At 61.5% G+C, this 26797-nt stretch overlaps 3 protein-coding genes across 26 annotated transcripts in view, besides 7 other annotated features; 1 reads left to right on the forward strand and 2 right to left on the reverse strand.

Annotated features, from left to right (window-relative positions):
* Nucleotides 1–12742, forward strand: part of ESPN (espin) — a 36595-nt gene extending 23853 nt beyond the window's left edge. For 4 of the 12 annotated variants that reach the window (XM_011542231.1, XM_011542233.3, XM_047431549.1 and 1 more), the window contains 6 exons: nt 13–174; nt 265–463; nt 1816–1842; nt 2975–3120; nt 3205–3468; nt 5806–8043. In XM_011542231.1, the coding sequence (XP_011540533.1) occupies nt 13–174; nt 265–463; nt 1816–1842; nt 2975–3120; nt 3205–3468; nt 5806–7569 (2562 nt within the window). In that variant the 3' untranslated portion in view covers nt 7570–8043. Of the gene's footprint in view, nt 1–12; nt 464–1815; nt 1843–2663; nt 2743–2974; nt 3121–3204; nt 3469–5805; nt 8044–8555; nt 8636–8732; nt 8745–11370; nt 12317–12551 lie in introns of those variants that run through there. The other 8 variants (XM_017002433.2, NM_001367474.1, NM_001367473.1 and 5 more) reach the window with 8 other exon arrangements.
* Nucleotides 689–1562: an enhancer, noted in NCBI's record as "H3K4me1 hESC enhancer chr1:6509377-6510250 (GRCh37/hg19 assembly coordinates)". NCBI's record gives its function as "activates a minimal SCP1, AML or CMV promoter by ChIP-STARR-seq in naive H9 embryonic stem cells {active_cell/tissue: H9 hESC(naive)}" and the evidence as "EXISTENCE:reporter gene assay evidence [ECO:0000049][PMID:30033119]".
* Nucleotides 4284–5241: an enhancer, noted in NCBI's record as "H3K27ac-H3K4me1 hESC enhancer chr1:6512972-6513929 (GRCh37/hg19 assembly coordinates)". NCBI's record gives its function as "activates a minimal SCP1, AML or CMV promoter by ChIP-STARR-seq in primed H9 embryonic stem cells {active_cell/tissue: H9 hESC(primed)}" and the evidence as "EXISTENCE:reporter gene assay evidence [ECO:0000049][PMID:30033119]".
* Nucleotides 10212–10418: a silencer, noted in NCBI's record as "fragment chr1:6518900-6519106 (GRCh37/hg19 assembly coordinates)". NCBI's record gives its function as "represses an EF-1alpha promoter that drives an FKBP-Casp9 reporter gene in an ReSE screen in K562 erythroleukemia cells {active_cell/tissue: K562}" and the evidence as "EXISTENCE:reporter gene assay evidence [ECO:0000049][PMID:32094911]".
* Nucleotides 11740–11799: a silencer, noted in NCBI's record as "silent region_157". NCBI's record gives its function as "represses an Ori minimal core promoter by ATAC-STARR-seq in GM12878 lymphoblastoid cells {active_cell/tissue: GM12878}" and the evidence as "EXISTENCE:reporter gene assay evidence [ECO:0000049][PMID:35858748]".
* On the reverse strand, nt 12158–17545 carry TNFRSF25 (TNF receptor superfamily member 25). Of its 6 annotated transcripts, none has more exons than NM_003790.3 (10): nt 17441–17545; nt 16812–16932; nt 16460–16594; nt 15924–16091; nt 15747–15825; nt 14444–14499; nt 14235–14342; nt 14001–14038; nt 13366–13546; nt 12158–13134 (listed from the first exon to the last, which is right to left on the reverse strand). In NM_003790.3, exons 1-10 carry the CDS (start codon nt 17477–17479, stop codon nt 12806–12808), a joined length of 1254 nt encoding a protein of 417 aa, NP_003781.1. In that variant the 5' UTR covers nt 17480–17545; the 3' UTR covers nt 12158–12805. The 6 variants fall into 6 exon arrangements, with proteins under 6 accessions (NP_003781.1, NP_683866.1, NP_683868.1 ...); NM_148965.2 differs by having other exon boundaries at nt 14437–14519; NM_148967.2 differs by lacking the exon at nt 16460–16594.
* Nucleotides 17366–18314: an enhancer, noted in NCBI's record as "H3K4me1 hESC enhancer chr1:6526054-6527002 (GRCh37/hg19 assembly coordinates)". NCBI's record gives its function as "activates a minimal SCP1, AML or CMV promoter by ChIP-STARR-seq in naive and primed H9 embryonic stem cells {active_cell/tissue: H9 hESC(naive and primed)}" and the evidence as "EXISTENCE:reporter gene assay evidence [ECO:0000049][PMID:30033119]".
* Nucleotides 18494–26797, reverse strand: part of PLEKHG5 (pleckstrin homology and RhoGEF domain containing G5) — a 52971-nt gene continuing 44667 nt past the window's right edge. For 7 of the 8 annotated variants that reach the window (NM_198681.4, NM_001042663.3, NM_001265592.2 and 4 more), the window contains 17 exons: nt 26419–26510; nt 25823–25959; nt 25385–25536; nt 24623–24826; nt 24358–24546; nt 23899–23994; nt 23130–23180; nt 22860–23009; nt 22362–22472; nt 22107–22256; nt 21878–22015; nt 21608–21727; nt 20916–21048; nt 20707–20822; nt 20414–20613; nt 19197–19958; nt 18494–18944 (listed from right to left, as the gene is read on the reverse strand). In NM_198681.4, the coding sequence (NP_941374.3) occupies nt 18935–18944; nt 19197–19958; nt 20414–20613; nt 20707–20822; nt 20916–21048; nt 21608–21727; nt 21878–22015; nt 22107–22256; nt 22362–22472; nt 22860–23009; nt 23130–23180; nt 23899–23994; nt 24358–24546; nt 24623–24826; nt 25385–25536; nt 25823–25959; nt 26419–26510 (2811 nt within the window). In that variant the 3' untranslated portion in view covers nt 18494–18934. The remainder of the gene's footprint in view (nt 18945–19196; nt 19959–20413; nt 20614–20706; nt 20823–20915; nt 21049–21607; nt 21728–21877; nt 22016–22106; nt 22257–22361; nt 22473–22859; nt 23010–23129; nt 23181–23898; nt 23995–24357; nt 24547–24622; nt 24827–25384; nt 25537–25822; nt 25960–26418; nt 26511–26797) is intronic. The other variant, NM_001265594.3, reaches the window with a different exon arrangement.
* Nucleotides 25736–26257: an enhancer, noted in NCBI's record as "H3K27ac-H3K4me1 hESC enhancer chr1:6534424-6534945 (GRCh37/hg19 assembly coordinates)". NCBI's record gives its function as "activates a minimal SCP1, AML or CMV promoter by ChIP-STARR-seq in primed H9 embryonic stem cells {active_cell/tissue: H9 hESC(primed)}" and the evidence as "EXISTENCE:reporter gene assay evidence [ECO:0000049][PMID:30033119]".
* Nucleotides 26258–26778: an enhancer, noted in NCBI's record as "H3K27ac-H3K4me1 hESC enhancer chr1:6534946-6535466 (GRCh37/hg19 assembly coordinates)". NCBI's record gives its function as "activates a minimal SCP1, AML or CMV promoter by ChIP-STARR-seq in primed H9 embryonic stem cells {active_cell/tissue: H9 hESC(primed)}" and the evidence as "EXISTENCE:reporter gene assay evidence [ECO:0000049][PMID:30033119]".

Here is a 26797-nt window from a genome sequence, read left to right on the forward strand (position 1 = left end):
GTCTTCCCGCAGCTGAGCTCCTGTGACGGCCACGACGGGCTGCGGAGGCAGGACTCCAGCCGCAAGCCCCGCGCCTTCAGCAAGCAGCCCAGCACGGGGGACTACTACCGGCAGCTGGGCCGCTGCCCCGGCGAGACGCTGGCCGCACGCCCGGGCATGGCGCACAGCGAGGAGGTGCGTGCCCGCCAGCCCGCGCGCGCCGGCTGCCCGCGCCTCGGCCCTGCCGCCCGCGGCTCACTCGAAGGCCCCTCCGCTCCCCCGCAGGCGGCGCTGCTTCCTGGGAACCATGTTCCTAACGGCTGCGCCGCGGACCCCAAGGCGTCCAGGGAGCTGCCACCGCCGCCCCCACCGCCGCCGCCGCCCCTGCCGGAGGCCGCGAGTTCGCCACCGCCGGCCCCGCCTCTGCCCCTCGAGAGCGCTGGCCCTGGCTGCGGGCAGCGCCGCTCCTCCTCGTCCACCGGCAGTGAGTAGGGGCAGGTTGAGGGGCGTGGGGCGGCGCTAGCCCTGAAAGGGGAGGGAAATCTAGACACCGCCCCCTCCCCAGCTGTCACTGCCCGGGTCCTTCCTCTTCTACATGGTCTTCCGGCCACCCCTACCCCATTGAGTACTTGACCCTAAGAGAGGGCTCTGGGTTGCTTGAGGTCCTGCCAAAGCACGACCGGGCTGCACGGCCTGGGGCAAGTCCCTTCCCCAATCTGGGCCTGCCTCCCACCCCCTAGCTGTGTGGCCTGGGCAAGTCCCCTCCCCTCTCTGGGCCTCCTCCCACCAGCTAGAAAGGGCCTCCCAGCTCTGGCGCTGGTGTTTCCCATGAGCTGGTGCTGGTGTTTCTGATGAGCTGGTACTGGAGGGACACTCGAAGTAGAACCAGCTTCAGAGAGGCCCCGCAGCTAGCCACCCTTCCCCCTGCCCGTCTATCCTGAGCCTCTCTTCCTCTCTCCACGTCTTTCTCTTGTCCTTCCAAGCAGCACAGACCTGAAGTCTTCTTAGATATGCCAGGAACTCTTCCTAGCCAGTTTCTGCCAGGGGCCCTGGGCCAGCCAAGGCGTGGCTATGGGGGCAAAGCTGTGACCCACCGTGTTTCCCCCTCCCTCCCCGGTGACTTCCCTAGGCAACCTTTTTTAAGAGCTAGACTGGTGCAGGATTCCTGGGCTGCTTTTCTGTAGGGTGGGACAGTGTCCCCCTGCCAGGACACCTAGAAGGCCCAGGACAGAGTGCCTAGATGTGGTGCTCCCATCCCAGCCTGGCTGGGGTGTCTTCCTCACCCAGCCACTCAGGGCAGAGATCATGCTTAGTGGCACCCCTCAAAGCTTCATCTCCCTGACTAGAAGTGCAGAGCAGAGCTAGTCCCCCTACGGTTCCTATGGAGCCCCAGCCCCTGCAGACCAGAGCCCATGTAAGCAAGTCCAGCACCTGCCGAACCTCCTTCTTCCCTCCACAGCCTGCAGCAGGGCTGAAGCTAAGGGCAGAGAAAAACATACTCTGGGCTTCCCGAGACACCCTCACCCAGCACAGCCAGGGCTGGGTGCCCTACCCCAACCCAGTGCCAAGGTGGAGGCCCTTGCTAGGGGCTAGAGCCAGTGGTGGCCCTGCCCAGCCCTCAGGGGCACCAGCCAAGCCAGGAACTCGATGGACCACCCTCATGGGGCCCCAGAGCAGCCTGAGCCAGGGTCAGATGGGCAGAAAAGCTCCTCCTCTCTTCTCCACTTCCCCCCCGCCCGCTCTCCCTGGCCCGCTCCCTGTCCCCTGCTGTCCCAGTCTCATCCTGCCCCCCCTCCCTCCTAACTCCGCTGTCACTTCTCTCCTCTTGGTCCCTAGAAGTGAGAGTCCTGAGGCACAGGAAGAGTGAGTAGCTGCGTGCGCGGCTCCTGGCTGAGGCTGAGGCGCGGGGTGGGGGGAAGAGGCAGGAAAAGCAAGGCAGAAGGGGCCCAGACTTGAGGAAAGGGCAGGGGCAGGGGCTGGCAGGCGAGAGAACCTCGAAGAATGGGTGGGGCCTTGCACCTCATACCTACCCTCATACCCACATATGCACCCAAGCATTCTGCACCTGGCTGATGGTTTTGCCTAAATAAATGAGCCAGCCACACCGATTTTCCCTTTCTCCTACTCTTCTCCCCCACCACCCCCACCCGCTGTGACTGCATTCTGGGATCCCCAGCCTGGGAATCCAAGAGCTGTCGGCCCATTTTATTCCTCCCTCCCAGACCTGACCCCTTCATCGGGGCTCAAGAGACCTCTCTCTCCAAATCTCCATTTGCCTCCTCTGGCTAAGCTGGAAAATGCACACTCTGCCCTGGGTGTTTCCATATTATCCGCCTGCCCTTCCTCCTGGGTGCCTCCCGTAGCCTTAGTAAGGGCTCTGCTTTCCTGGGCCCCTAGAGCTGAGCCATGCTTTGCCATAAAGGTGCTCCCGGCTTGCAACCAATGTGTCTGCTTGTGCATCTGTCTGTGGGTGTGGTGGGGAGGGAGGGGACCAGGTGGGTACTGGCACTCTGGGGTCCGGACTTTATGTCCATGGAGGCCCCAATTGACTCAGTTCAAGGGTCACTGAGGCTTTGCTGATGTAGGGAGAGGGCCAGAGGGAGGCTCCACCCCAGCCGGGCTGAGCCAGGGAACCTGGGACAAAGGTCAGGTGGCTGATTCCAGGTAGTGTTTTGGAGCTGGGCAGTCAGTGGCTGGGCGGGGACATATGCCCAAGAGCCACCATGAACTCCCAGGGGCCTCCAGGCAGGGGCCCTCCATCCCGTGAGTAGGGTGGGGAAGATGGTGGGGTTGCCACAGTCAGGGAACCAAGGGCCCGCCTCTGGGGGCCCTGAAACCTGCCTGCAGGACCTGGGATCTGGAGAGCTGCCCGCTGGCCCGGAGGATGGGCACCCATCCAATCTTGGCTTAGGAAAGGGGCTGCAGAGGGGCGGGTGAGGGGTGGCGGGGATGCAGCCCCACCCTGGCCAGTGCCTCATCTCCTGCCTCCGCATAGGCACCAAGTCTTTCAACATGATGTCCCCGACGGGCGACAACTCGGAGCTACTGGCTGAGATTAAGGCAGGCAAGAGCCTGAAGCCGACGCCCCAGAGCAAGGGGCTGACCACAGTGTTCTCAGGCATCGGGCAGCCGGCCTTCCAGGTAGGCGGGCCCAGCAGGAGCCTGCGACCCGGCTTCCCTGGCCCTAGGCCACCGGGCGCTCAGCCCCACCGCTTCTCCCTGCAGCCCGATTCGCCGCTGCCTTCTGTGTCACCTGCACTGTCACCAGTCCGGAGCCCCACACCGCCAGCTGCGGGGTTTCAGCCGCTGCTCAATGGAAGCTTGGTTCCCGTGCCGCCCACTACTCCTGCGCCGGGAGTGCAGCTGGACGTGGAGGCTCTCATCCCCACGCACGATGAGCAGGGCCGGCCCATCCCCGAGTGGAAGCGCCAGGTGATGGTGCGCAAGATGCAGCTGAAGATGCAGGAGGAGGAGGAGCAGAGGCGGAAGGTGGGTGGGGCGGGGTGCCCAGGGAGCCCTGGGGTCTGCATCTGGATGCACAGCCCATCCCCCACGCCACCCCCAACCCCAACCTCGGGACCTCCCATTTTCTTTCTTTTTTTTTTTTCTTTTCTTGAGACAGAGTCTTGCTCTGTCGCCCAGGCTGGAGTGCAGTGGTGCGATCTCGACTCACTGCAACCTTCGCCTCCCAGGTTCAAATGATTCTCCTGCCTCAGCCTCCCAGGTAGCTGGGATTACAGGCGCCTGCCACCACGCCCAGCTAATTTTTTTGTATTTTTATTAGAGACGGGGTTTCACTATGTTGGCCAGAGCTGGGATTACAGGCATGAACCACCGTGCCCGGCCATTTTCTTTAGGGAAAGCAGGGTGGTACAACCCTGTTTGGGGCTTGTCCCAGTCTCCACACACACCCCCACCAGCTTGTCCTTGGAAGTGAGACAGCAGCCTTTCTCAGACTCTCCTTCACCGGCCCAGCACCTGGGATCTGGTTAAAAGGCCTGTTCGGATTTAGGAGGTCTGGGCGGGGCTGAGGCTCGCATTTCTAGCCAGCTCCTGGGTGAGGCTGCTGATGCTGCTGGTCCAAGGACCACACTGAGTAGCCAAGAGGGCTTTGGTCTCAGTCTTAGGGACCTGGGCTCCATTGCTGTGCTGCCGCCTTCCAGCTGCCGATACTGAGCCTCATCCAGCCTCAGTTTCCTTCTCTGTAAGGTGGGCTGATCAGCACCAGCTGGCAGGATGAGTTGCCTTTTATTCATCCAACAACTATTCCCCAAATGCCATTTATTTTTATTTTTTATTTTTTGAGACAGGGTCTCACTCTGTTACTGAGGCTGGAGTACAGTGGTGCGATCTCGACTCACTGCAACCTCCACCTCCTGGGTTCAAGCGATTCTCCCGCCTCAGCCTCCCGAGTAGCTGGGACTACAAATGCCCGCCAACAATGCCCTGCTAATTTTTGTATTCTTAGTAGAGATGGGGTTTCACCATGTTGGCCAGGCCGGTCTCGAACTCCTGGCCTCAAGTGATCCGCCTGCCTCGGCCTCCCAAAGTGCTGGGATTACAGGCGTGAGCCACCACGCCTGGCCCCCGAGTGCCATTTATGTGCCCCACACACTGTTGTAGCCTCTGGAGATTCATGGTGAACATATCAAGGCCTGCTCTAAGGTGGCTGCGGACATGTGTGCGAGTCACCAAGCACACAAAATGGGGCAGTGTGAGAGAGTGGGTGGCAGTGGAGAGAAGTACCTGGGCTGATGCAACACAGCCAGCTGCAATGGGGAACGCAGGGGACTGGGGCAGCCCTAACCGGCCACCTTATACGTGGGCTGGGGGGCGTGTTAGGGAAGGAGGAGGTGATGTCTAAGGTGACACTTGGAAGACGAGTGAGGGGTGGCCAGGAGGAGAGTGGGCTGAAGAGCCGCAGGTGAGACAGAGCAGTCTGGAAGTGAGAGTGGATGTGGCCCTGACTGTCCTGGAGGAAGGGGGTCGCTGAGCTGGAGAGACCTCAGTGGGGGCCAGGTTACCAAGACCTGGCCAGAGGCCCAGAAGAGAACGGACTTTCTCCTGGAGCACTGGGGAGCCGGGTGCGGGGAGTGTTAAGCAGGGAAGAGGCTGCTTCCTATTTGTATGTGGGGAGTGGATCGCATAGGGTCAAGATGAATCAGGGACCTCTGTGGAGGCGATGGCAGGCCCAGGGGGAAAACTGGACATCAGAGGTGGAGAAAAGTGAGCAAATGAGAATATTACGGTGCCCAGCTGTCCAGCAGGACGAAGGGAGGGGAAGGGTGGGCAGCTCAGTGGAAGCTGCAGCTGCAGCCTCTTTAAGAGCGGAGTGGCCTCTGATTCTGCACAGAAAACATTGAGCACAGGGAGCGGGAAGGCTTGGGCCACAGGGGAGCTGGAGAAGGGGTCATGAGTCTGGGAGGAGAGGCCTCAATAGCCGCCCTCGGATGGGTTGGGGAGGGCCACCGCGCCTCTCAGCTTCAACGCCTTTCGCAAGTTCCTTGGGTGGTGTAATGAGCGAACAAGCCAGGCATGGAGACCCCGTCTGCTGGCCTGTTCTTGCCGCCGCAGCAGCGACCAGCGACCGGCCGTGCCCCACGCCACCGACCAAAGTGGACACTGCCCAGAGCCTGGAGCGGCGGCTCAGGCCGAAGCCTCACCCCAGCGTCACCCCCCGCCGGCCAGACGCGGTCCCTCCCTGCAGACGCAGCCCCGCGGAGCCATTACACCACCCGGGACATGCAAAAGGCTCCCGGCGCCACGGCGGGAGCTAGGCCAGAGGGAGACGCGCCTCCCTCCCCTCTCTTGTCTTCCCCGCCTTAGCTGACGGCCGCCAGCTCGTGCTGCTACCCCCGCGAGGGCTGGAGGTACTCCCGCGAGCACAACGCCATCCTCGGGCCCTTTGGCGAGCTTATGACCGAAGCCGACATCCTCCGCATCGAGCAGCAAATCGAGAACCTGCAGGTGCTGCACAAGGCGCAGAAGCTGGAGGCGCGCCTCGAGCAACTGGAGCTGGAGCTGGAGCAGCTGCTGCCCATCTCGGCCGCCCTGTCGGCGCCGCGCTTCACCGTCGATCCGCGCCGAATGCATGGCCGCGCCGCCAGCCTGCCCGCCTGGTGCAGCAAGATCTCCACGTTGCTCAAGAACATGGCCACGCTGCTGGCTGCGCTGGGCGGCCGGCCTGCGCACCTGGCGGAGCTGCTGACCGCTGACACGGGCCAGCCGCTGGCGCCGCTGCCCGACGCGCCCTGGCTGCCCGGGCCGCTCTGCCTGGGTCGCTCGCACTCGCTCAGCTGGTGCCGCGAGGCTGTGGCGCGCGAGATCCTCGAGTGCGGCGTCTCCGTGCAGCATCTCCGCGCCACCTACGAGCTGCGCGCACGGGGCGCGGCGCCCGCGCGCTGTCCGCGCCGCAAGCCCCCGCAGTCCGCTGGCGCCCCGGGCCGGGAGCCCATCTTGGAGGAGGACTACGTGGCGGCCCGCTCTGGCCAGCCCAGCGCCGCCGCCGCCCACGGCCCGCTGGTCGACTGGGAGCCCCTGGGCACCCTGGGCCCGCCCGAGGTACAGGATCGCCAGGCGGCGCTGCCTGAGCCCGAGCAGCTGGCGCGCCGGCCGCCCCTCTGCACGAAGCTGCGCGGCGTCCAGGACTACCTCGACCTGCGCAAGGAGCGCATCGTTTACCTCTTCCTGGAGCACTGGCGCCGCTGGGCCTGCCGCGGACCAGGCCGCCGCGCCCAGGCGCGCCTACGCGGACTGCTGCCCCGCGTGGCGGCTGCCGGTGCTGGCCCGGGGCTGGAGGCCACGGACGCCCCCCGGCTGCCGGCGAGCAACAGCGAGGCCCACAGCCCCGACGAACGGCTGCGGCAGCTGCTGAGGCAGCGGCAGGCGGTGGGCAAGCTGCTGGGCCACTGGCGGAGCCTGCTGCGTCGCGTGCCGGCAAGCCCGGGCCTGGCGCACGGCCTGTATTGGCCCCAGCACTTCCTGCCGCCCCTGGACGGCGGCGCACCCCCGCACTACGACAGCCTCACGCTCGACCTCTTCATGCTCGGCTACTTCCAGCTACTCGAGATGGGCCTGAGCCGCGAGGAGCGCAAGTTCCGCCACCTACTGTGCTACGAGATGTTCGACCGACTGGGCAGCCACCCGTGGGAGCGCATCCGCCTCTTCCACCGCGTGGTGCTGGAGGAGGTGGAGGCCGGCCGGCGCGGCTGGAGCGACGGCTTCGAGGACCTCAGGCACCGGTTCTTCGGAAACGGCCTGGAGGCTGAGCCGGCCCCCGAAGAACAGGCGAAGGAAAAGGAAGAGGAGGGGAAAGAACAGGAGCGGACCGAAGAGGCTGCTCCATTTCAGACGGGGGACCCGCCTGAGGGGCAGCCCGAGGCCCTGGCCCCTGCGCCGCAGCCGCCGCCGCCGCCCCCGCCCGCCGCGCCTCCCCCGACCTCAGACTCTCCTGGTTCCGAAGCCCCCGCCGAAGACCCCTTGGAACTGGTGTCTGAGATGGGCGAGTTCAGCAACGAGGACATCTGCCGCTACATCGACCGCAGCTTCTCCTTCTGGAAAGAGAAGGAGGCAGAGCTGTTTGACATCTGAGCAGCGGAATTCGGAATTCTCAGTTCACCCTCGAGCGTCTTAACGTGGGCCTGGACGCCTGTCTGACGCCCTCCAGAGGCTGGAAGCAGCAGGAAGAGCCCAGGACTGTGGCCTTGAGCAGCCCGGAGGGCCCAGGACCAGGCTGCCTCAGCCTCTGAGGTCCCATCGTGGCGGGCTGTGGGGCGTTGGTCGGATAGGCAGGGCAGGCACAGAACAGACCAGGTGTCCGCCTCTGGCCCCGTGGCCTTGCTGAGCTCTGTGTGGAGCCAGGCAGCAGAAGAAGCCCCTCTGAGTGAGGGGCTGCGGCTCCTCCTTGCGGCAGTGTGGCCTGCTCTTTGGTTTTCCACTGGAGTTCACAGCTACCTCCTTGGCTGAGGTCAAGGGTGCCACGTGTGCAGTGTTCTGTGTGAAGTGTGCCGTGTACAGACCCGTTCTCCTCTGTAACATTCAGGAAATAAAACTCTTTGCTGTAAACTGCCTGCGTTGGACACCACACCTGCCCCTGATGTCATTGTAGCCCCACGATTGTAGTGCCCGTATCCACTCTATTGGGAAGATGGCAACCATGGGGTGAAGGTCCTTCACAGGGGAGCCAGGGGCAGCCTGAGTCTCCCTGAGCCAAGAGGCTGGGTGGGGGCTGGCTGGCATCTGCGTCTGCCCAGAGGTCTTGGGCCTGTGGCCATTGGCCACCTGCCTCTGCGGGGAATCAGGCTCAGGACCTCTGGGTCCCAGCTACTTGTTCTCTGCTTCTGTCCCATTCAGCTCTGATCTCTCTGGTGCCTCCTGTAGGACATGAGGGTCTGGGTTACTAGGGGAAAGGAGGCCAGCTCTGAGGGGGTGTGACCAGGCACCTCCATCCACTTGTCACACAGATGTGCATCAAAAGGATGTCTTCCTGTGACCCTGACTCCTTCAGGTCCCGAGGTTGAGGGTGCCCCCTATCTCCCAGCCCCTGCAGGCCCTGAAGCTTTGTGGTTGTGTTTCAGGAGGAGGAGGAGGAGGCCCGGCTGGCCAGCATGCCCGCCTGGAGGCGGGACCTCCTGCGGAAGAAGCTGGAAGAAGAGAGGTGAGCTGGGGGTCAGGCAGAGGCTGGCCTGGCAGGGTGTCTTGACTGCGTCCCTGAGGTGGAGGTACCAAGTGACACTGTCTCTTTTTCCTTCCAGGGAGCAGAAGCGGTGAGTGCAGGGCTGGCCCCAACCTGCCACCCTTATCCCCACCCAAGTCGCAGAGGGTCGTCCCTTCATCCAGGCCAATTTGAGTACATCCTCCTGTCTCTTGGCCCTTGTAGCACAGCCTCCTTCCTCCCTATAATACCCCAGAATCTCTCTCTCATGCTCTAATAACTTTGTTCCCGGTTACTCAGTCCCTGCCTCCTATTAACCTGGCCTTTTCTACCCTTCAGTTAACCTAACCCCACTATCAATCACCTTGATTGTCTGGCCCTCAGAATGTACTTTCTGCCCCTAGTCATCTCACCCAGCCCAGTGCTGGCCAATAGAAATGTAATGAGAGCCACAGATGTAATTTAAAATTTTCTAGTAGCCACAGTGAAAATGTAGAAGGATATAGGTGAGCTTCATTTTAGTACTGTTTTATTTGGCACAAAATATCAAAAATATTATTTCAACACATAATCAATTATGAAAATTATTAATGAGATGTTTTATACTCCTCTTGTAAAAGTAAGTCTTTGGCCAGGCATGGTGGTTTACACATGTAATCCCAGCACTTTGAGAGGCCAAGGCAGGGGGACCACTTGAGCCCAGAAGTCTGAGACCAGCCTGGGCAATGCAGTGAGACCTCATTCTGCGAAAAAAAAAAAAAAAAAAAAATTTTTTTTTGAGATGGGGTTTCACTCTTGTCACCCAATCTGGAGTGCAGTGGCGATCTGGGCTCATGCAACCTCTGCCTCCTGGGTTCAAGTGATTCTCCTGCCTCAGCCTCCCAAGTAGCTGGGATTACAAGCGTGTGCCACCACACCCAGCTAATTTTGTATTTTTAGTAGAGATGGGGTTTCACCATGTTGGCCAAGCTGGTCTCAAACTCCTGACCTGAAGCGATCCACCCGCCTCGGCCTCCCAAAGTGCTGGGATTATAGGCATGAGCCACCAAGTCTGGCTTTTTTCTTTTTTTTTGAGACAGAGTTTTGCTCTTGTTGTCCAGGCTGGAGTACAGTGGCACAATCTTGGCTCACTGCAACCTCTACCTCCTGGGTTCAAGTGATTCTCCTGCCTCAGCCTCCCTGGTAGTTGGGATTACAGGCGCCCGCCACCACGCCCGGCTAATTTTTGTATTTTTAGTAGAGGCCGGGTTTTGCCATGTTGGTCAGGCTGGTCTCGAACTCCTGACCTCAGGTGATCCACCCGCCTCAGCCTCCCAAAGTGCTGGGATCACAGGCGTAAGCCTTCGCACCAGGCCTGCAAAAAAAATTTTTTTTAATTAGCTGCAGGGGGCTGGGCGCAGTGGCTCATACCTGTAATCCCAGCACTTTGGGAGGCTGAAGCGGGTGGATCACCTGAGGTCAGGAGTTCAAGACCAGCCTGGCCAACATGGTGAAACCCTGTCTCTACTAAAAATATAAAAATTAGGTGGTCGTGATGGCGCATGCCTGTAATCCCAGCTACTCGGGAGGCTGAGGCAGCAGAATCACTTGAATCTGGAAGGCGGAGGTTGCAGTGAGCCAGGATCACGCCGTTTTGTACTCTAGCCTGGGCAACAGAGTGAGACTCCATTTCAAAAAAAAAAAAAAATTAGCTGGGCGGGCTGGGCTCGGTGGCTCACGCCTGTAATCCCAGCACTTTGGGAGGCGGAGGCAGAATGATCACCTGAGGTCAGGAGTTCAAGACCAGCCTGACCAACATGGTGAAACCCCGTCTCTACTAAAAATACAAAAATTAGCTGGGCATGGTGGCACGCTCCTGTAATCCCAGCTACTCAGAAGGCTGAGGCAGGAAAATCACTTGAAACTGGGAGGTGGAGGTTGCAGTGAGCCGAGATCGTGCCACTGCACTCCAGCCTGGGTGACAGAGCGAGACTCTGTCTCAATTAAAAAAAAAAAAAATAGCTGGGCGTAGTGGCACACATCTGTGGTTCCAGCTACTTGGGAGGCTGAGGTGGGAGGATTACGTGAGCCCAGGAGGTCGAGGCTGCAGTGAGCCATGATCTCACCACTGCGCTCCACCCTGGCAACAGAGCGAGACCCTGACTCAAATAATAATAAAACTTAGTCTTTGAAATATCATGCACATTTTACACCTGCAATCCATCACAATTTAGACCAGCCACATTTCAAATGTTCAGCAGCCACATGTGCTTAGTGACTACTCTGTCAACAGGCAGATCTACCCTCTATGTTCTAATAACTTGTCTCTAATTCTCAGTCCCTCTCTCAATTATATGGTCTCTCTGCTCCCCAGCAGCCCCACCCCAGTCCTCAATACTTCATATTGACAGCTCCCCCACAACTCAAGTCCTGGTCCCAGTAATCTTGCTGCTGCACCCAGCAATACCACCTCCTCACATGGTGCCACACAGTGACCCAGCACCTCTGTTTCCAGTAAAACCCCAGCCCACAATAATCCAGCCTTAACCTCCCACTCACCCAGCTCCCCTGTGCTCCAGTAACCCCATTCTGCCCCCAATCTAGCCCCTCTGTCTTCAGCAACCGAGCCCCAGCCCTCAGTAACCCACCCCTTGCATGGGTGACCTGGCCTCTGCCTGGTGCCTGGCCCCACCCTTTCTGCCAGCCTGGGTATCTGGCCCCAGACTTCACCGGGTCTGCCCCCCTCCCCACTGCCTCAGGAAAGAGGAGGAGCGACAGAAGCAGGAGGAGCTGCGGCGGGAGAAGGAACAGTCAGAGAAGCTGCGGACGCTGGGCTACGATGAGAGCAAGCTGGCGCCCTGGCAGCGACAGGTCATCCTGAAGAAGGGGGACATCGCTAAGTACTAGAGGCCGCAGACTCCTGTCCGCAGCCTCGCAGCTCCGTGGGGCCCTCCGCCCCAGCCCCAGCCAGCCAGGCCCTGGTGGAAAGGCTGGGAGCCGCACAGCCCTCCCCTCCTGCGCTGGAAACCCTCCCTGACCCCCACCCTGGCCCCCCGTATCCCCAGCCCTTGGCAACACTGGAGTGCACACGCCGCCACGGTTGCCCAGAAAAAGTGCCCAAGCTGCTGACGCAAACAACAACAAATGCTGCTTATTTGCATGCCGACTTACATATATTTGCATGTTCGTTGACTATCAAAGAGTGCAGAGCTCTCCCCAGCCCCGTGGGTGGTGACTTTGTTTTCCTGCGGGGCTCAGCCCCCTCCAGGATGCAGCCCCCTCCCCCGCACCCCGGAACCGGCGTCGCTGGCGCATCCTGGGTGGAGGCAGGCCCCGAGCTCGGGGAAGGGGTTTTCCCTTCCTCTCTGACCCAGATCTGCGCGCGGCCTAGCCCGGGCCTCATTTCTTATCCCCGCCAAGGGTTTCCTCTCAGTCATTTGTTTACCAGAAACATGAAAACTGCCTGTCTGGCCGGGCCGCACTTGTGGCCCCCGGGACCCCACCTCTGGCCCCACCTCCCTCAAGTCTGCGCCCCGTCCCCAGCCAGACCCACTCGCTGCCGGGACCCTTTCACTGCCCCGGTGGAGTGAATAGAGGATGAGGGGCCCTGACCCTGTGTCTCCAACTGCTGCACCCCATCCCGACCCTGTCTCCGCCACCTCGCAGCCCCATTAAAGCGCTCTCATCTGGGCTCCGGTTCACTCACTCGCTGTGGCCGCGACTTGCTCTCTCCTTCTCGGGGTAATTGAGCCAGAGTGGACTCGGGAGGGGCAGGCTTGGGAGCTAAGGCCACACTGGACTCCACCATGGGTGCCAGATCCCGGGGTGACAAGATTCCCGTCCCCTTCGAATCCCTCGAGAAAAGTCCAGTCCACTTAACACCCCAGCCCCGCAGAAACGCCAAGAAGCCGTTTTTGTTTTGTTTTGTTTTCTTTCACAGATTTAATACCGCGATCTCAGCCAAACTCCGGCCGAGAAGTTGAGAAATGTCTTCACCCCCTCTCGACATTCGTTCGTGCTTCTTCGCCTTGGCTGGAGCGATAGGGGCGAGCAGGGGTGGGGCCGGCTGGTGCTGCTACGCAGGGCCGTGCCAGCGGCTTAATAAGTGACATAAAATGTCTACACGCATAAGTAACCGTACTTAGGGCTTCTGCAAGGGCCACCAGAGCGCCTAGGTGGCAAGTGGGCGCCGTGTCACGGGCCGCGCTGCAGGCGGCTGCGCAAGTCTTCCACGCAGCCGTCCAGCCCCATGCGCTCCAGGGCCGCGTAAACGGCTCCGAGGCCCGCGGGCTGCTGCTGGCGCCAGCGCTTGAGCATCTCGTACTGCTGGTCTCGGAAGCGGCCGATCTCCACCTCCACGGCTTCGATCTCTGCCTCGCGCAGCCCCAGCGTGCGCACGAACTCCTTCCAGCGCCGCGCTGGGACCGCGTCCATCACGTCGTAGAGCTGCGGGCCCGGCTGCAGCATCATGGCTGGCGAGCCGGCTGGGGACTCTGGCGAGAGTGTGGGCGCAGCAGCGGGGCCTGGGGCAGGGCCAGAGAGAGCCAATTGGGGTACGTGGGCCGCGGTCGGGAGGCAGAGTCAGGGGCGTTCGTGCGGGTACCCCAGGGCTGAAGCCCGCTGGATCCGGTGGGTCAGGGCATAGGGCGGACTCCGTCAGTTAGGGGGCAGAAAGGGAACACGTTGTGAAACCACAACTTCCCACCGCAGACAGGAGAATGGGGTCAAGGCCTCAGGCCACTGATGTCCCTTACCAAGAGCTCTGCTGGGCAACTGGTCCCAGGACCATGTCACCTGCGGGCAGAGCGCCTCCTGGGTCTCGGGGTAGCCAGGGGTCCAGCTGTTACCCACCAACTGGACGGTGCAGATCTTCTCACTGCTGTCAGGAGGTGCTAGAAGGGTGTGGGCGCTGTCCAAGGGTGACAGATGGGTGGCCTGGAAGCCAAGAGGGGCCCCAGGTCAGCCCTGCTTGCCAAGTAAGGCCCCTTACCCGCAGTGCCTCTCCAGGAGGGGACAGTCCCTGGTTCAGTCAGCAGACACCCCCGCAATGACACCTCCCACAGTTGGCCCTGCTCTCACTGTAGCCCAGCAGAACTCTTGCTTCTGCCTTGAGTCCCCTGCCCCCGCCTCCTTCCTCTTGTCCCCCAGCACCATGGGGCTCTCCTTCCATTGAACTGTTAGCTCCTGTGTACGAATCTGAACTCCAGCTGACTGAGCACCCCTTGAGGGCAGGCACTGTGCTGGTCTCATCCACTGATGACTCTGCTCCCAACACCTCTGTCCACTAGGGCTACCCGGTGCTGGCCGCGTGCCAAGCTCCAGGGATCATAGTAAGGCTTGATCTTCCAGCTCCAGAAGGCAGCCCAGAATCACACAGTGAGGTTCTTACCGGTGGTGGGGTCAGAGCCTCCATCCCAGCTTCATCTGCTGACAGACACAGAGAGATTGCGGTCAGCCACCAGGCAAGCCTCCTGGACCTGGGTGCTGGTACAGCTCCTCTAGGGTTCCTCTGCACCCCACACTCCCTGCCTCAGTTTCCCCTTCTGTATCAGGGTTGAGTAGACTCTGGGCTACCCATCCTGACCCCAGGCTTCTGGGTGCGTGTGTGGGTGTGTGTACTTACCAGTAACCAGGGGCTTGTGAGGCCAGCAGTGGCGGTATGTGTAGGTCAGGGTGGCCCCAAGCAGGAGGGGGACCACAAGGCCAGCCAGGAGCACCTGGACCCAGAACACTGAAAGCAGCTGGTGGGTGTTGGGTGGTTGCCCCCCTCCTCACCCGCCTCCCCTCGGTCCATCCCAGTTCTCCCACTCGCATTCCCAGCACACCACCTACTCTGCCTCCAGCCACAGACAGCGGCACAGCGCTCTGGACAGCTCCCCAGGGTGCTCCTGCAAGGGACGGGGGTGGCCTGAGGGATGAGGGGGTGCATGCCAGGAGGGGCTCCCTAAGACTGCCCAGCATCTGCTCCATCCTAGAGACCCTTCCCTCCCCAGGCCTCTCACTCTACCCAAGAATGTTCCTGTCATTGTGTCCCTGGTAACAACCACAGACACTATTCACTGAGCTTCTTCTAGACTACATGAAGAGTCACTAGAATGTCAACCCCAAAAGGACAGGGATTTTGCCTATTTTGTCCCCTGTTGCATCCCCAGCACCTAGAACAGTGTGTAGAACATAGCAGATATTCAATAAAGACTTGAATGGAGGCCGGGCGCGGTGGCTCATGCCTGTAATCCCAGCACTTTGGGAGGCCAAGGCGGGTGGATCACGAGGTCAGGTGATCAAGACCATCTTGGCTAACACGGTGAAACCCCGTCTCTACTAAAAATACAAAAAATTAGCCGGGGGTGGTGGTGGGCTCCTGTAGTCCCAGCTACTTGGGAGGCTGAGGCAGGAGAATCACTTGAACCCAGGCAGCAGAGGTTGTAGTGAGCCAAGATCGTGCCACTGCACTCCAGCCTGGGTGACAGAGCAAGTCTCCATCTCAAAAAAAAAAAAAAAAAAAAAAAAAAAAGACTTGAATAGCTACAGAAAGTCCCTTACCTCTGATCAAAGGCCTGTGAATTAGCTGCTAACATCCCATGTTGAGAAAGGGACACCACACATCAGAGACGCGAATTCTCTGCACTTGCCCAAGATCCCCTAGAGAACTAGCAGCACAGTCCTGACTCTCAGCCCTTTGTATTTATTTATTTAATAGATTTAATATTTAATATTTAATAGATTTAATATTTATTTATTTATTTAATAGGTCTCGCTCTGTTGCCCAGGCTGAAGTGCAGTGGCACGATCATAGCTCACTGCAGCCTCAACCTCCTTCAGCCCAAGTTTTAAAGCTATATCAATGTGACTCTCTGTGTAAGTGACAAATCATCTGTAATATCTGGCTAGGATCGCTGGGGGGAATGCTGGCTGAAAGTGAAGGCAAATACCCTTATGTATCTGGCTAAGGCGGATCCAGATTGCTCTTTTGCCATCTAAGTTTGCCTGAAGTGGGGCCCACCCATCACAGGGCCAAGGCTCCCTCCTCCCTATCCCCTCTTCCTATTCCTGAACCAGCAGCACCTGCCCCACCCCAGGCCCCTGCTCTGCTCCCAGCCGCCCTTCCCTCCATCCCACGACAGCTAGGAATTACGTGGGGCAGGACACGCAGCCATCGCCATGTTCATAGAAGCCAGGCAGGCAGGTCCCACAGTCAGTATCTCTGCGGGAACCTGCAATCCAGGAGAGGCATGCGTCACCATGGGACAGGAGTGGGTCAGGCAGGGAGAAGGGGGTCTGGGAGTAGAGAGCCCTGGGTGGGGGTACTCACAGAGTAGCCGTGTGTGGCGGTGCAGGGCCCCGCAGTCTAGGCATGGTTGGCAGTAGAAGGGTGAACTGCTGACACATTGGCTGACCTGGCACTCCACAAACCAGCCTGGCTTACAGCCACAGCGGGTGTCGGCCACTGCTGAACAGTTCTCCAGCGCCACCTGGGAGGCTGGTGGGGGTGCAGGGAGATGGGGAGTGGAGAGTTAGTCAGGGCCAAAGGCTCCCATGGAGAGGCAGAGGCATTATCCCAAGATAATGGAGACAGAAATAGGCGAAAGACAGACAGGTACAGGGCTACCCTAAAAAAGAGAGAAGCTCAGAGATTAAGGCCGACCAGAGGCCAAGGCACATGGAGAGATGGGAAGGTCACCAGGAAGAGAGAAGGGGCAAGGGCACCCTGAAGGAGGATCAGGGTGGAGGGTTCTGGCAAGGGTGGGTGCAGGACCCTCACACCCCAAGTTTGGGCCCGAGCCAGCCACTTCCTTCAGAAAGGCCTGTCCTTAGGAACTCCCTGCCAAGCACTGAGAAGCCCCTCACCCTGCTCATCACAGGCCTGGCAGCGGGCACATTCAGAATTATGGTGGTTCTCCCAGGCCAAGAAGGTGTCTTGGGGACACACAAGGCAGGTGGAGTTGCCGCAGGGCTCCGTGCAAGGGGCCTTCAGGTAGTGCCCTGTGGAACCAGGCAGGGGTCAGGCAGGCAGAGGGGCTGCCCAGCAACCCCCGACCTGCTTCCCACCCTGCCCTCCCTCCCTCTTTCTCTCCAGCTCCCTACTTCTCTGTCAGCCTACCCCTACCTCCCCTGCCAGCCTCCTCTTACCTCCCGGGCCTGCCCGCCACCTCTCCAGCCCTGCCTGCCCCATGCCTCTCCCACCCCTGTGGCCACTTACCCGCTGGGCAGCCTCTGCAACAAAACAGACCAATCTTCTTGTGGAAGTCACCGGCACAGTCACACCTGGGGCTACGAGTGCCGCCCTGGGCCCGGGCCCCCAGCAGCACCAGGAGGAGCGCCTGGGGGACAGGTGCTGCTGACTCTCAGCGCAGCTGCCCACGTGGGGCCTCTCCCTGCTGCGTCTCCTCCATTTCAGAGGCCCCAGCATTTGCCCACAGAGCAGCCCACTTCCCAGGCCCCGGGCAGAAGGGGTGCCCATGGGTGGAGAGGAAACTAACTTCCTTCCCCCCGCGCACACACCAGGCTTCGGAGGGGGCGCTTACCAGCCCCTCACAAGTTTCCCCTCCACCAGAGCAGGAATCCAGCAGCGCCCCCACCCCCACCCATGCTTTCTGTTGGGGGAGGGACACTGATAATGCTCTGCCTGGGGCCCCCAGACCCTCCTGGGAGGGGTTTCCTCTCAGTGGAAGGGCTACGCCCTGGAGGAGCCTTTAACGAGATCGGAAAGGGCGGCCAACCCAGCCCCCAGTGAGGCTTGGAGTGGAGACGCGCCCGGGGCCCCTTCCTTCACCGAGGCTCTTGGGACAGGGCTCAAAGCTGCCCCTAGCCTCCTGCGTCTCAACTCACCGCCGCCACCGCCGCGCAGCCCCGCGGCCGCTGCTCCATAGCCCTCCGACGGGCGCCCAGGGGCTTCCCGGCTCCGTGCTCTCTGCCCGTCGTGGTTCCGCCTTCAGCCCCGCGCCCGCAGGGCCCGCCCCGCGCCGTCGAGAAGGGCCCGCCTGGCGGGCGGGGGGAGGCGGGGCCGCCCGAGCCCAACCGAGTCCGACCAGGTGCCCCCTCTGCTCGGCCTAGACCTGAGCTCATTAGGCGGCAGCGGACAGGCCAAGTAGAACACGCGAAGCGCTGGGCTGCCTGCTGCGACCAGGGGCACAGGATAGAGCTGCATCTCGGTCCCCACCCCGACTCTCGCCCCAACCCTGAGAACCACTTCAAGGTAGAGCCAGGGCAAGTGACTTCTCTCTCGGCCTCCGCGTCCCCAGCCATGGAGGAGGTTGGGCCAAAAGTACCGCAAGGGGCCAAGCGCAGTAGCTCAGGCCTGTAATTCTAGCACTATGGGAGGCAGAGGCGGGCGGAACACTTGGGGTCAGGAGTTCGAGACCAGCCTGACCAATATGGTGAAATGCCGTCTCTACTTAAAATACAAAAACTAGCCCGGCGTGGTGGTGCACACCTGCAGTTCCAGCTACTAGAGTGGCTGGGGCAGGAGAATCGTTTGAACCCGGGAGGCAGAGGTTGCAGTGAGCCGACATCACACCACTGCACTCCAACCTAGGTGACAGAGTGAGACTCTGTATTAAAAAAAAAAAAAAAGTTCCTGAAGGGACCCCCATGGAGGACCCACCTTCCCAAGAGGGCTGGCCTGAGTGTGGGAACTGGGCAGATTCAGCCCTGAATCCCCGGGGGGCACCTGGGGAGAGGCTCTGATGGTGGCTGAAGGTGGGGAAGTCTGGGGGTGTTGGTCTGGTGGCACCCCACACCCCATTACTTCCCAGTGCTTCCCATGGCAAGCTCCATCCGTGGCCCATCCGTGGCAAGTGGAGGAGCACAGGAACACAAGGAGGCCGCCCTGAACTCAAGTGCCCCGAGTCACTGGGCCCCAAAGCAAAGGACTCTTCCCAGTGGAGTCTAGACAAGTCTTTATAAAAGAACCAAAAGCTCAATAAATACGTAACTTCACAGAACCCAGCCCAAGCCAGGGGTGGCCTGTGGGACTGGGAAGGTGGGGGCAGGGCAGGAGTGAATCCCACTGGAGGCCAGTGAGGGTAGAAGTAGGATGGGCAGCCTAGGAGCCCAGCCCTGAAGACTCGAGCTGAGCTGGTAACTTCGGGGAGTAGGTGACGAGGGGCTGCCTGGGCAGGTGGGGTGGTACTGTGGCCTGGGCCTCCTCCACTCCATCCAGTCCGGCAAAGCGCAAATCGGGCCCGGGCGTAGGCAGGGATCCTGCCCAGCATCCGGCTCATGCATACAGGAGGCAGTAGCTGAAGCAGGTGCCGGCACGCCCCAGGAGGCAGGCTGTCTGCTGTCTCTTGGTCAATGGCACTCTTGGGGGCCTCCCTCTGCTCAGACCTCCCTACAGGGTGGGGAGGGGACAGAGTCCTTCTTTGGCTGACGCCATTCAGAGTGGCTCTGGTCACCCTCTCTTCCCCACGGCACTCCTCAGGCCCCTTCACTGCTGCCCACCACAGCCCCCTGCGCCCAGACACTGGGCAGGGTTCAGGCTCCCTCCGCCATGACCCTCCCCAAATGCGATGCTCCCAGGCATGAGTGGGCCCCCATGCCAGTGCCCTGAGCCACCTGCCCTACCCCAGTCCAGGCCACTCACGAGGCAGTGAGCGTGGAGTTAAGCAGCAGGGTGGTCCTGATTCGGTAGAGCTGGGCCAGGGTCAGCTTCCTGTGCTGGGCAGAGACCCCTGGTGGGGGCTCAGGCTGGACCCTGGGAGAGGCCCCCGAGGGCAGGTCTCCACACCTCTTCCTGTGGGAGCCTGCAGGTTCCCCGGCCAGGCAGCCGACTAGCCCAGGACCGCTGCCAGGGCTAGGGGCCCCTCGGCAATCCCAGCTGGGCCCAGCTTCCTGAGGGGAGCCCTGAGTCCTAATACCTGGGGCTGGAACAGCCAGGCAGAGCTCTGACAGGCTGCGGCTGGGGGCAGAGGGTGTCCCATGGGTGCCAGCCCCTGCCAGCAGCTGGAGGAGGCTGGCCTCGGACTTAGACTTGAGCAGGTGGGGCGGGCAGCTCAACAGCTGGACAGGGGTGCGGCGGCGGAGACGGGGCGAGGGTGGAGGGGAAGGAACTCGTGGGGACTCTGGGGCCCGAGGCACTAGCTCTGCCATTGGGCCTGGGGCCACAAAGTCTTGTAAGGAGGTTGGGGAGAGGGTGCCGTAGGCAGAGTCCATGGAGCAGGAGCGGCCGTCCACCGGACCCAGGGGCAGCAGCTCACTGGTGGGCGTGGCAGATGAGGCAGTGGTGCTGAGAGAGGTCTCATCAGACTGGGAGCTGAAAGGACCGCTGTCGAACTCGGGGGAGGACAGCGTGTCCCCAGGCTCTACCACAACCATGGCCAGGGTCTCCGTGGAGCCATCTGAGGCACTGTGGGGCCAGGAGCAGAGTCAGCCCAGGCCATGAAACCTAGATGGCCTGAGGCAGCCCCAGGCTGGGCAATGCACGGTGGTTTATACCCTCTGCCCTCCTGGGGCTGGAGGCTCAGAGATGGCAGCATGTGGCAGGTGTGGCAGATCTTCCAGCTCCAGTGCCCACAACAGACCTCAGTAGCGAGCCCAGCACTCTTCCCTGCCAAGGCTGGATCTGCCCTAAGGATCCTCAGCACAGCACCCCAGGCAGCTACCACGAATGGATCAGGGCTGGCAGCACATGGAAAGGTGTCTGCCCTCCCCACCCGGACTCTGGGGGAGACAGAGCCCCGCTCCCACAGTGTTCATGACAAGAGGCCATTGGGAGGAAGGGAGCGTGGCTGGGCCTTCAGGAGTCCTGGGCTAGAGTACTTGTCCTGGTTTGACCTGCTGGGTGGTCATGAGCAGACGTACCAGTGCTGAGAGTCGGGGCTGCCGCTGCTTTTCCGCATGATGGTAGGGGAGCTGGCAGCTGAAGTGCCACTGTCCTCGCCTTCCTCCTCCTCCTCCTCCTCCTCCTCTTCCTCCTCCTGCTCATCCTCCTCCTCTTCCAGGCTCTGCAGGGGCTGCTGACTGCCTGGGGGCTCCTGTGCACGCAGCTGTTGCAGCTGGTTCTGCAGGCAAGGTTGGGGTACATGGGACAGAATGGGTTGTGACCAGCATCTCCCTAATCTGCCTTGCCCACCCACTCACTACTCTGCACTCACCTGGGCATTGTAAATGGTGTCCACCCAGCCACGGCACAAGGCCTGGCCACTGGCCTGGAACGTGTAGGCCCCTACAGCACTGTGAAACTCATTCAGGTAGATAAGGAGGAAGGACCCTGGTTAGGGAAGGCCCAAGTCAGTGTCAGCAGAGACGATGGCCCCCACCCATCACAGCCCCTGACCAGGAACAGGGGACCAGGGCTCCTTACCAGGGTCCCGTAGCTCCCGGCACACAATCTTGTCCACGAGCAGGGGTGGCCTGATGACCCTGGTCCTCTCTGCCTTCTTCACTGCTTTGGTCACCAACAGCAGATCCGTGAAGAGGAAGCAGTACACATCCATCTGCAGTGGCAGGAGGGGGGGTGGCCAGAGAGGCCAGCAGGGTCAGGGCCAGGGACTGTGGCACCAGCCTCCCCTGGGAGCACTCGGTTTTTGTCAAACACTCCTCCCACCATGAACCTTCAAGTAAAATTAAAATGAAGAGGAAGATGATTCTCTTTCACTGAGATGTACGTTGATGACTTATCTCAATACAAGTTTACATTAAAAAGAAGACTGGTGACTTTGAAGTCACCGTGTGCAAGCTCTCAGCCTGCCCCATGCCTGAAGGGGCCATGGCACAGTAGCAAGGCTCTGGGGTTCCTGGCCCACTTGTGGAATATGGCTGCCCTCCCACCAGGAACCCATGTGGCACCAACAAATGGGCACAACTGGTGCCTTCAAGGGCTAGGACCCTACTGCTGGATTTGTGAATGGCAGGCAGAGAACTGTCATTCACTATGACAAGGTCACTGGTTCTTGAGTAACCACCGAAGGGACTGCAGAGCTGAGAACCAGTGACTGGGGCCCAGGAGGTCCCTAGGAAGGGCAGGGCACAGGGGTGGGGTGGCCCTGGAATCACCTTGCTGTCCTTCCCCTCCTTCATCCTCAGGCTCCCCTCCAGCAGCAGCTGCCGCGTCTCCTCCGGGGAGGCGCCAGGGATGGGCGCTGTCAAGTCCAGGTGCAGAAATTCCTTCAGGAGCTGGGGACGGATGGCGTGAACGTAGGGGAGGCCAGAGACTGACTCCCATCTCAGCTAGGCATCCTCAGTGAGATGCCCAGCACAGCCCCTGCCTGCCAGCTGGGCCTTCCTCTCTCCCAGCCGGCAACCCCCGCAGACACACACGCCCACCTTGTCCACTTCGTCGCTGCTGCTTTCCACCACCTCGTAGGCGTCGATGCGGCTCACCACGGCCGCCAGCCGCTGCCGCTCCTGCCGCTGCCGCATGCACGCGTTCACGTGGTGGATGAAGCGCTCCACGGAGCCGATCTAGGGGCAGGTGAGGGAGCTTCAGGTCCAGGGTCATGACGGAGCAGAGAGCCGCGCAGGGGGGACGGCTCCCGCTGGCCATCAGGGTTACCATGGCGACGACGGCCTCCTTGGCGCGCGGCTCCTCGGTCTTCCTCAGCACCGACTTGAGCAGCAGCGGGTACTTGGTGAGCCGCTGGTGGGGTTTGGCCAGCATGTCGCTCAGCTTCAGCCTCTGGCACTGTGGGTGCTTCTCCGCCCACTGCGGTGGGGGAGTGGGGGCGGGCTCAGGGCAGGCCCCGCCCCACCCGGCCCCGTCCAGGGTCCCGTCCTCCTGCGCCCCCGCCCACGGCACGCGCGCCCTCACCGTGATGTAGGCCCGGAAGAGGTCGTTGTCGCGCAGCAGGCCGCGCATGTACTCCATGCAGCCCTCCTCCTCCATGCAGTAGCGGATGTAGGGCTTGAAGAGCGAGCCGAACTGGCCCGGGGCAGAACAACCACGGCGCCGGTTACCGCGCGCTCCCTGCGGGCCGGCCCGCGCCAGGCGCTGCGCAAGCGCTTCCTTACTGCACTTGGGCGACCACCCCAAGGGGGCAGCAAGCTTATGATCCCTGTTTCCTGATGAGGAAACTGAGCCTCAGCCAAAGTGACCACCCGTGGCCAGGGATCAGGGGTAGATGGTCAGGTGGAGGCTCAAACCCGGGCGACCGCCTCGTAATTCCTCACCCTTGGCCACAAGGGGTCAAGTGCGGTTACGGGCCTGGGGGAGGTTGGGGATGCTGGGCAGACCGGATCGGGCCGTGGAGGCTTTTCGGCGCCCCAGCCCTGCCTCAGTGCCCCCGCCTGCGCCCGGCCCCGCCCGTACCATCTTGAAGCCTTTGAGGAAGTCCCCGGGCTGTAGCAGCGCTCGCGTGCGCCGCGCCTTCTCCAGCACCGGCGCCATCACGCTAGCCCACAGCCTGCGGTGCAGCTGCGCGATCTCCGGGATGTTGCTGAACAGGCGCTCCGCCTCCACCTGGGCGCGGCGGGAGGTGCGGTTGGCCACGCCCCTCCGCCAGGTTAGCCCCGCCCCAGGTCCAGGTCCCGCCCTCCTTCCTGGTACCTCACCCGCCGCCGCCCCCGAATCCCAGCGCACCTCACACAGCAGCCCTGACTCTTGCAGGTTCAGGAGGCAGCACAGGAACAGCTGTGGGATCAGGGGATGGTGTGACTGGGGTCGGGAGGCTGTCTCAGCCCTAGGGCCCCACCCAGCCTCAGGCTCCCCTGCCACTCCTTCCCCTTCCCCGTTCCAGGAGGCCCCACAGCAGCCACGGATAAGAAGGCTGTACCCTTTGGCCTTCGCACCTGGGTAGTCCAGACCCTGAGGAAAGACCCAGTCCTCATAGCCCTCCCGAGGTCACACTGCCCTGGTCCCTCCTGGAGGGAAGCTCGGGGGAGACTGGCTTTGAAGCCATGCCTGGAATTCCCTTCTCCACCTCTGCCCTGGCTTAGCCTCCAGATTTCACCTCTGAGGGTGCTTCCTCCCTCCAGGAAGCTCCAAGCCCAGGGTAGGTGCTCCCCTCCCTGAGCCGAAATCCCTACACTGCCAGCTCACTCTGTCCCGTCCAGGGCGTGGCCTGCTGGGCACCCAGCACACAGCAAGTGTTGGGAAACAGCCACTGAACGAAAGTGAAAGAATGAGGCCTCACCTGTGCTAATTCAGCTGAACCTGACAAACCTGCCCGAAGCCCCCTCCCAGGTTCCTCTAGGAGGCACCTCCTCCCTGGGCGCAGCCCTTGTCTGACTTTCCTGCCCCCACCTCATTGCCAGGCACCTGCTCCTTCTGCAAAGGCTCAGACTCAGCTGAGGGCTGTCAGAAAGAGGGGGGCAGGGTGGCCACGGGGACCAGCGCAGCCCCTACTCACGTTGATGATCACCCGCAGTTTCCTGATGTAGGAGGCCTCCGTGTGCAGCAGCTCCCACACCGCCTCCTGCTGGTGGCACTGCCGCCGGGTCAGCTTCTAGAGGGAGGGCAGGATGGGTCATTCACGAGGCCTGGAGCACCTTAGGGTGGCCGGGGAGGATAAGCAACCTGCATGCAACTCTCATTTTCCCAATGGGGACATGGAGGTCCCAAGAGGAGCAGGGTCACCCTTGACACCACATGAGTAATCACAGTTAAGACACCCAAGATCTGGGCCCTCCTCTGCCATTAAAACAGCCAAGCAGCACACCATTTTCATCTAGCCTCAGTGTCTCCAAAGTGGGCTAATGGTAACAGTGGCCTCTTTGGGGCGTCCCATGGAACATCTGATCACTGGGTCCTCCCGAGGGCTGTCCTCCTTTCGGGACAAGGAGGGAGCAGCACTGTGGCCCGCACTCACCTCATGCCCATCAATGAGCTCCCGCCAGCTGTCCTCCAGCCTCAGGCAGGCATTGTCCTCATCCTCGTCTTCATCGTACTCCTCCTCCCAGGAGTCATGGTCGAAGCGCAGCCCCCGGGGCAGCCTGGGCAGCCCGAAGAGGCTGTAGGTGTGCAGCTTGCCCTCCAGCTGCTCCATCTTGTCTACCTCCTGGAAAGATACCCTGGTCAGGGTCAGGGGTCATGGCCAGCCAGCTGCCTGACCCTGGGCAGATGGGGCCACATACCCGGCCAAAGGCGCTGGTGCTGGGGCCGGAGCTGAAAAAGCCGCTGAAGCGACTGGCCGCCCGGTTCTTCCAGCTGTCGCCAGTGTTGGTGCTGCCACTGCTGCCGCTGGGCAGAGAGCAGCTGGAGGGCGTGGGGGGCTCCTGCCCGGGGATGCTCGCCTCCCCCAGGAACTCCGACATGTTCTTGCGGCGGCGGCCAGGGGCCTGGTCAGGGAAGGGTGGTCAGGGCCGGGACCCCCTGCCAGCCCCCATGGCCCCACCCCAGGGCGGGTTTCCAGGGCCTCAGGCCAGCCTGGGATGGAGGAGGGTCTCTGCATCTCTACCCTGGGGTGTCCCCTCTCCTGGGACCCAGACATATCTGGAGACTGGAAGGTCCAGACACAGATACGCCCAGACTATCATCCCCCAGTCCCCCAGCTTCAAGCATGAAGCACAGAGTTACACACTCAGATGCACTCTGGAACACAGCTCTGGGTGGTCTGTAGCCCCAGGTACAAGTGCTCTCACACACACATGCACACACAGGTTCCCTGACCCCTGGCACTAGAAGAGTCTCAGATACAAGCCCTCACCTTGGGCTATGGCTAGATCCAGAGAGAGAGGGTCCCCTACTCTCCCAGCCAACCCCATTTTCCAGAAGGGACAATTAAAACCCCAAGATGGGGCAGTGAGAGACCCAGGGTGACTGCCTCTGAGGAGGGGCTGTGGGCCCAGCCTGGGCCCCTTCCCACCCCCTCCCCTGACACACCCCCTCCTCCTCACCAAGATGTCCAGGCTCTCCCGGCGGCTCTGGGCGTCCACACGCTCCAGGGCGGGGGGCCCGGTCCCAGCTGGCCGCAGAATCGGCAAACTCAGGGACTTGGAGTCCTTCATGCCCTGCTCCACCTTGCCCTCATCTCCAGGCTTGGCTGGGGCTGCATGTGGGGGCCACGAGAGATCCTCAGTACCCTGGTCTGGTGGAGGAGGGGGTCCCCGGTCCTCTCTCCCCGGAGGATCCACACCAAGGCCTGCCTGCCCTCCCCCGACAGCCCCGCCCTGCCAGCACCCTCCCCTCCCCCAGCAGCATCCAGCAGAGACACCTGTATGGTAATGAGGCTGCTCAGGCCCACGACCAATGGGAACCTGAGCCTGGGAAGGGCGCCCATCTCCAGGAGGCTCCGCCAGTCCCAGCGGCCCCATTTGGCCCAGGCTGCTTCTCACCTTTGACACGAAGGTAGTGTCCCCCGAACCTGTAGGCCTCGAAGGTGAGGGACAGGGGTGTGTTGGACTGGTCCAGGTAGATGTCCACTTTGCCCAGCGCAATGCCCTTCCTTTCAAATACAGGCAGCAGCACCTCCCTGCCCCCAGGACAGGAGGCATGTGTGTTAGAACCAGGCGGCCAGTCGCTTCAGCTTGGGCCCCGCCCCCACGAGCCCCCGCCCCACCCACAGCCCCAGCTGCCCCCACCTTCCCAACGGAAAAGGGAAGCCCGCATGGGATCACACGCAGGTCCACAGACACCTGCCCGCAGAGGTGCTCACACAGGCGCATCTGCATACCACGGCAGACCTGTCACACGCCTGCCCACACGCAGGCCTGGCTCCTGCATACATGATTAAAATGCACAAGTACACAGACCCCACCGCACTCCCTCACACTGGCGTGCACACCAGCACGGGTCTGCCCACGCAGGGATGCGCTCGCTCACGGGCCACCACACAGACACACACGTCACACCTGCAGAGACCCGGAGCCTGCAACATGGGGCCACCCCTACTCCCAGTCCCACTTCCACCCTGAGCCCCATCAAGCCCTACCCCAGTGACTTCTTCTTCATGGCTGGGACGATCTCTGTCTCAATGTCCACATTCAGGTCAAATTTCAGAGTGAAGCATTCCTTGCTTGGGTCCTGGGAGGATGGTGGGGGTGGGGGCTGTGAGCTTCTCCTCACCGCCCTCATTCCCGCCCTCCTCCCCACCCTCCTTCCCACCCTCCTTCCCAACCCTCCTCCCCACCCTCCTTCCCACCCTCCTTCCCAACCCTCCTCCCCACCCTCCCCACCCTCCGGTCTCGGATGGGAACCCCAGCAAGAAAGGGAACCCCAGCGATCTCCCAGACCTCTGCACCCTGGGATGCAGACCTCCCCACCCCCATCCCGGAGGAAGGCCCAGGCTCGGGGAAGGGCGCAGGCTGTAG

The sequence above is a fragment of the Homo sapiens genome, chromosome 1 (genome assembly GCF_000001405.40).
Source record: "Homo sapiens chromosome 1, GRCh38.p14 Primary Assembly".
Classification (NCBI taxonomy): domain Eukaryota; kingdom Metazoa; phylum Chordata; class Mammalia; order Primates; family Hominidae; genus Homo; species Homo sapiens.

What these genes read in the sequence shown, in the direction of transcription:
- TNFRSF25 (NM_148965.2), bottom strand. Translation starts at nt 17,479, where the DNA reads ATGGAGCAGCGGCCGCGGGGCTGCGCGGCGGTGGCGGCG. An exon ending in TTGCAGAGGCTGCCCAGCGG is followed by an intron (nt 16,595 to 16,811) that starts GTAAGTGGCCAC and finishes CTGGTTCCACAG; the next exon opens with GGCACTACCTGAAGGCCCCT. An exon ending in CCAGGCCTGTGATGAGCAGG is followed by an intron (nt 16,092 to 16,459) that starts GTGAGGGGCTTC and finishes CACCCCCACCAG; the next exon opens with CCTCCCAGGTGGCGCTGGAG.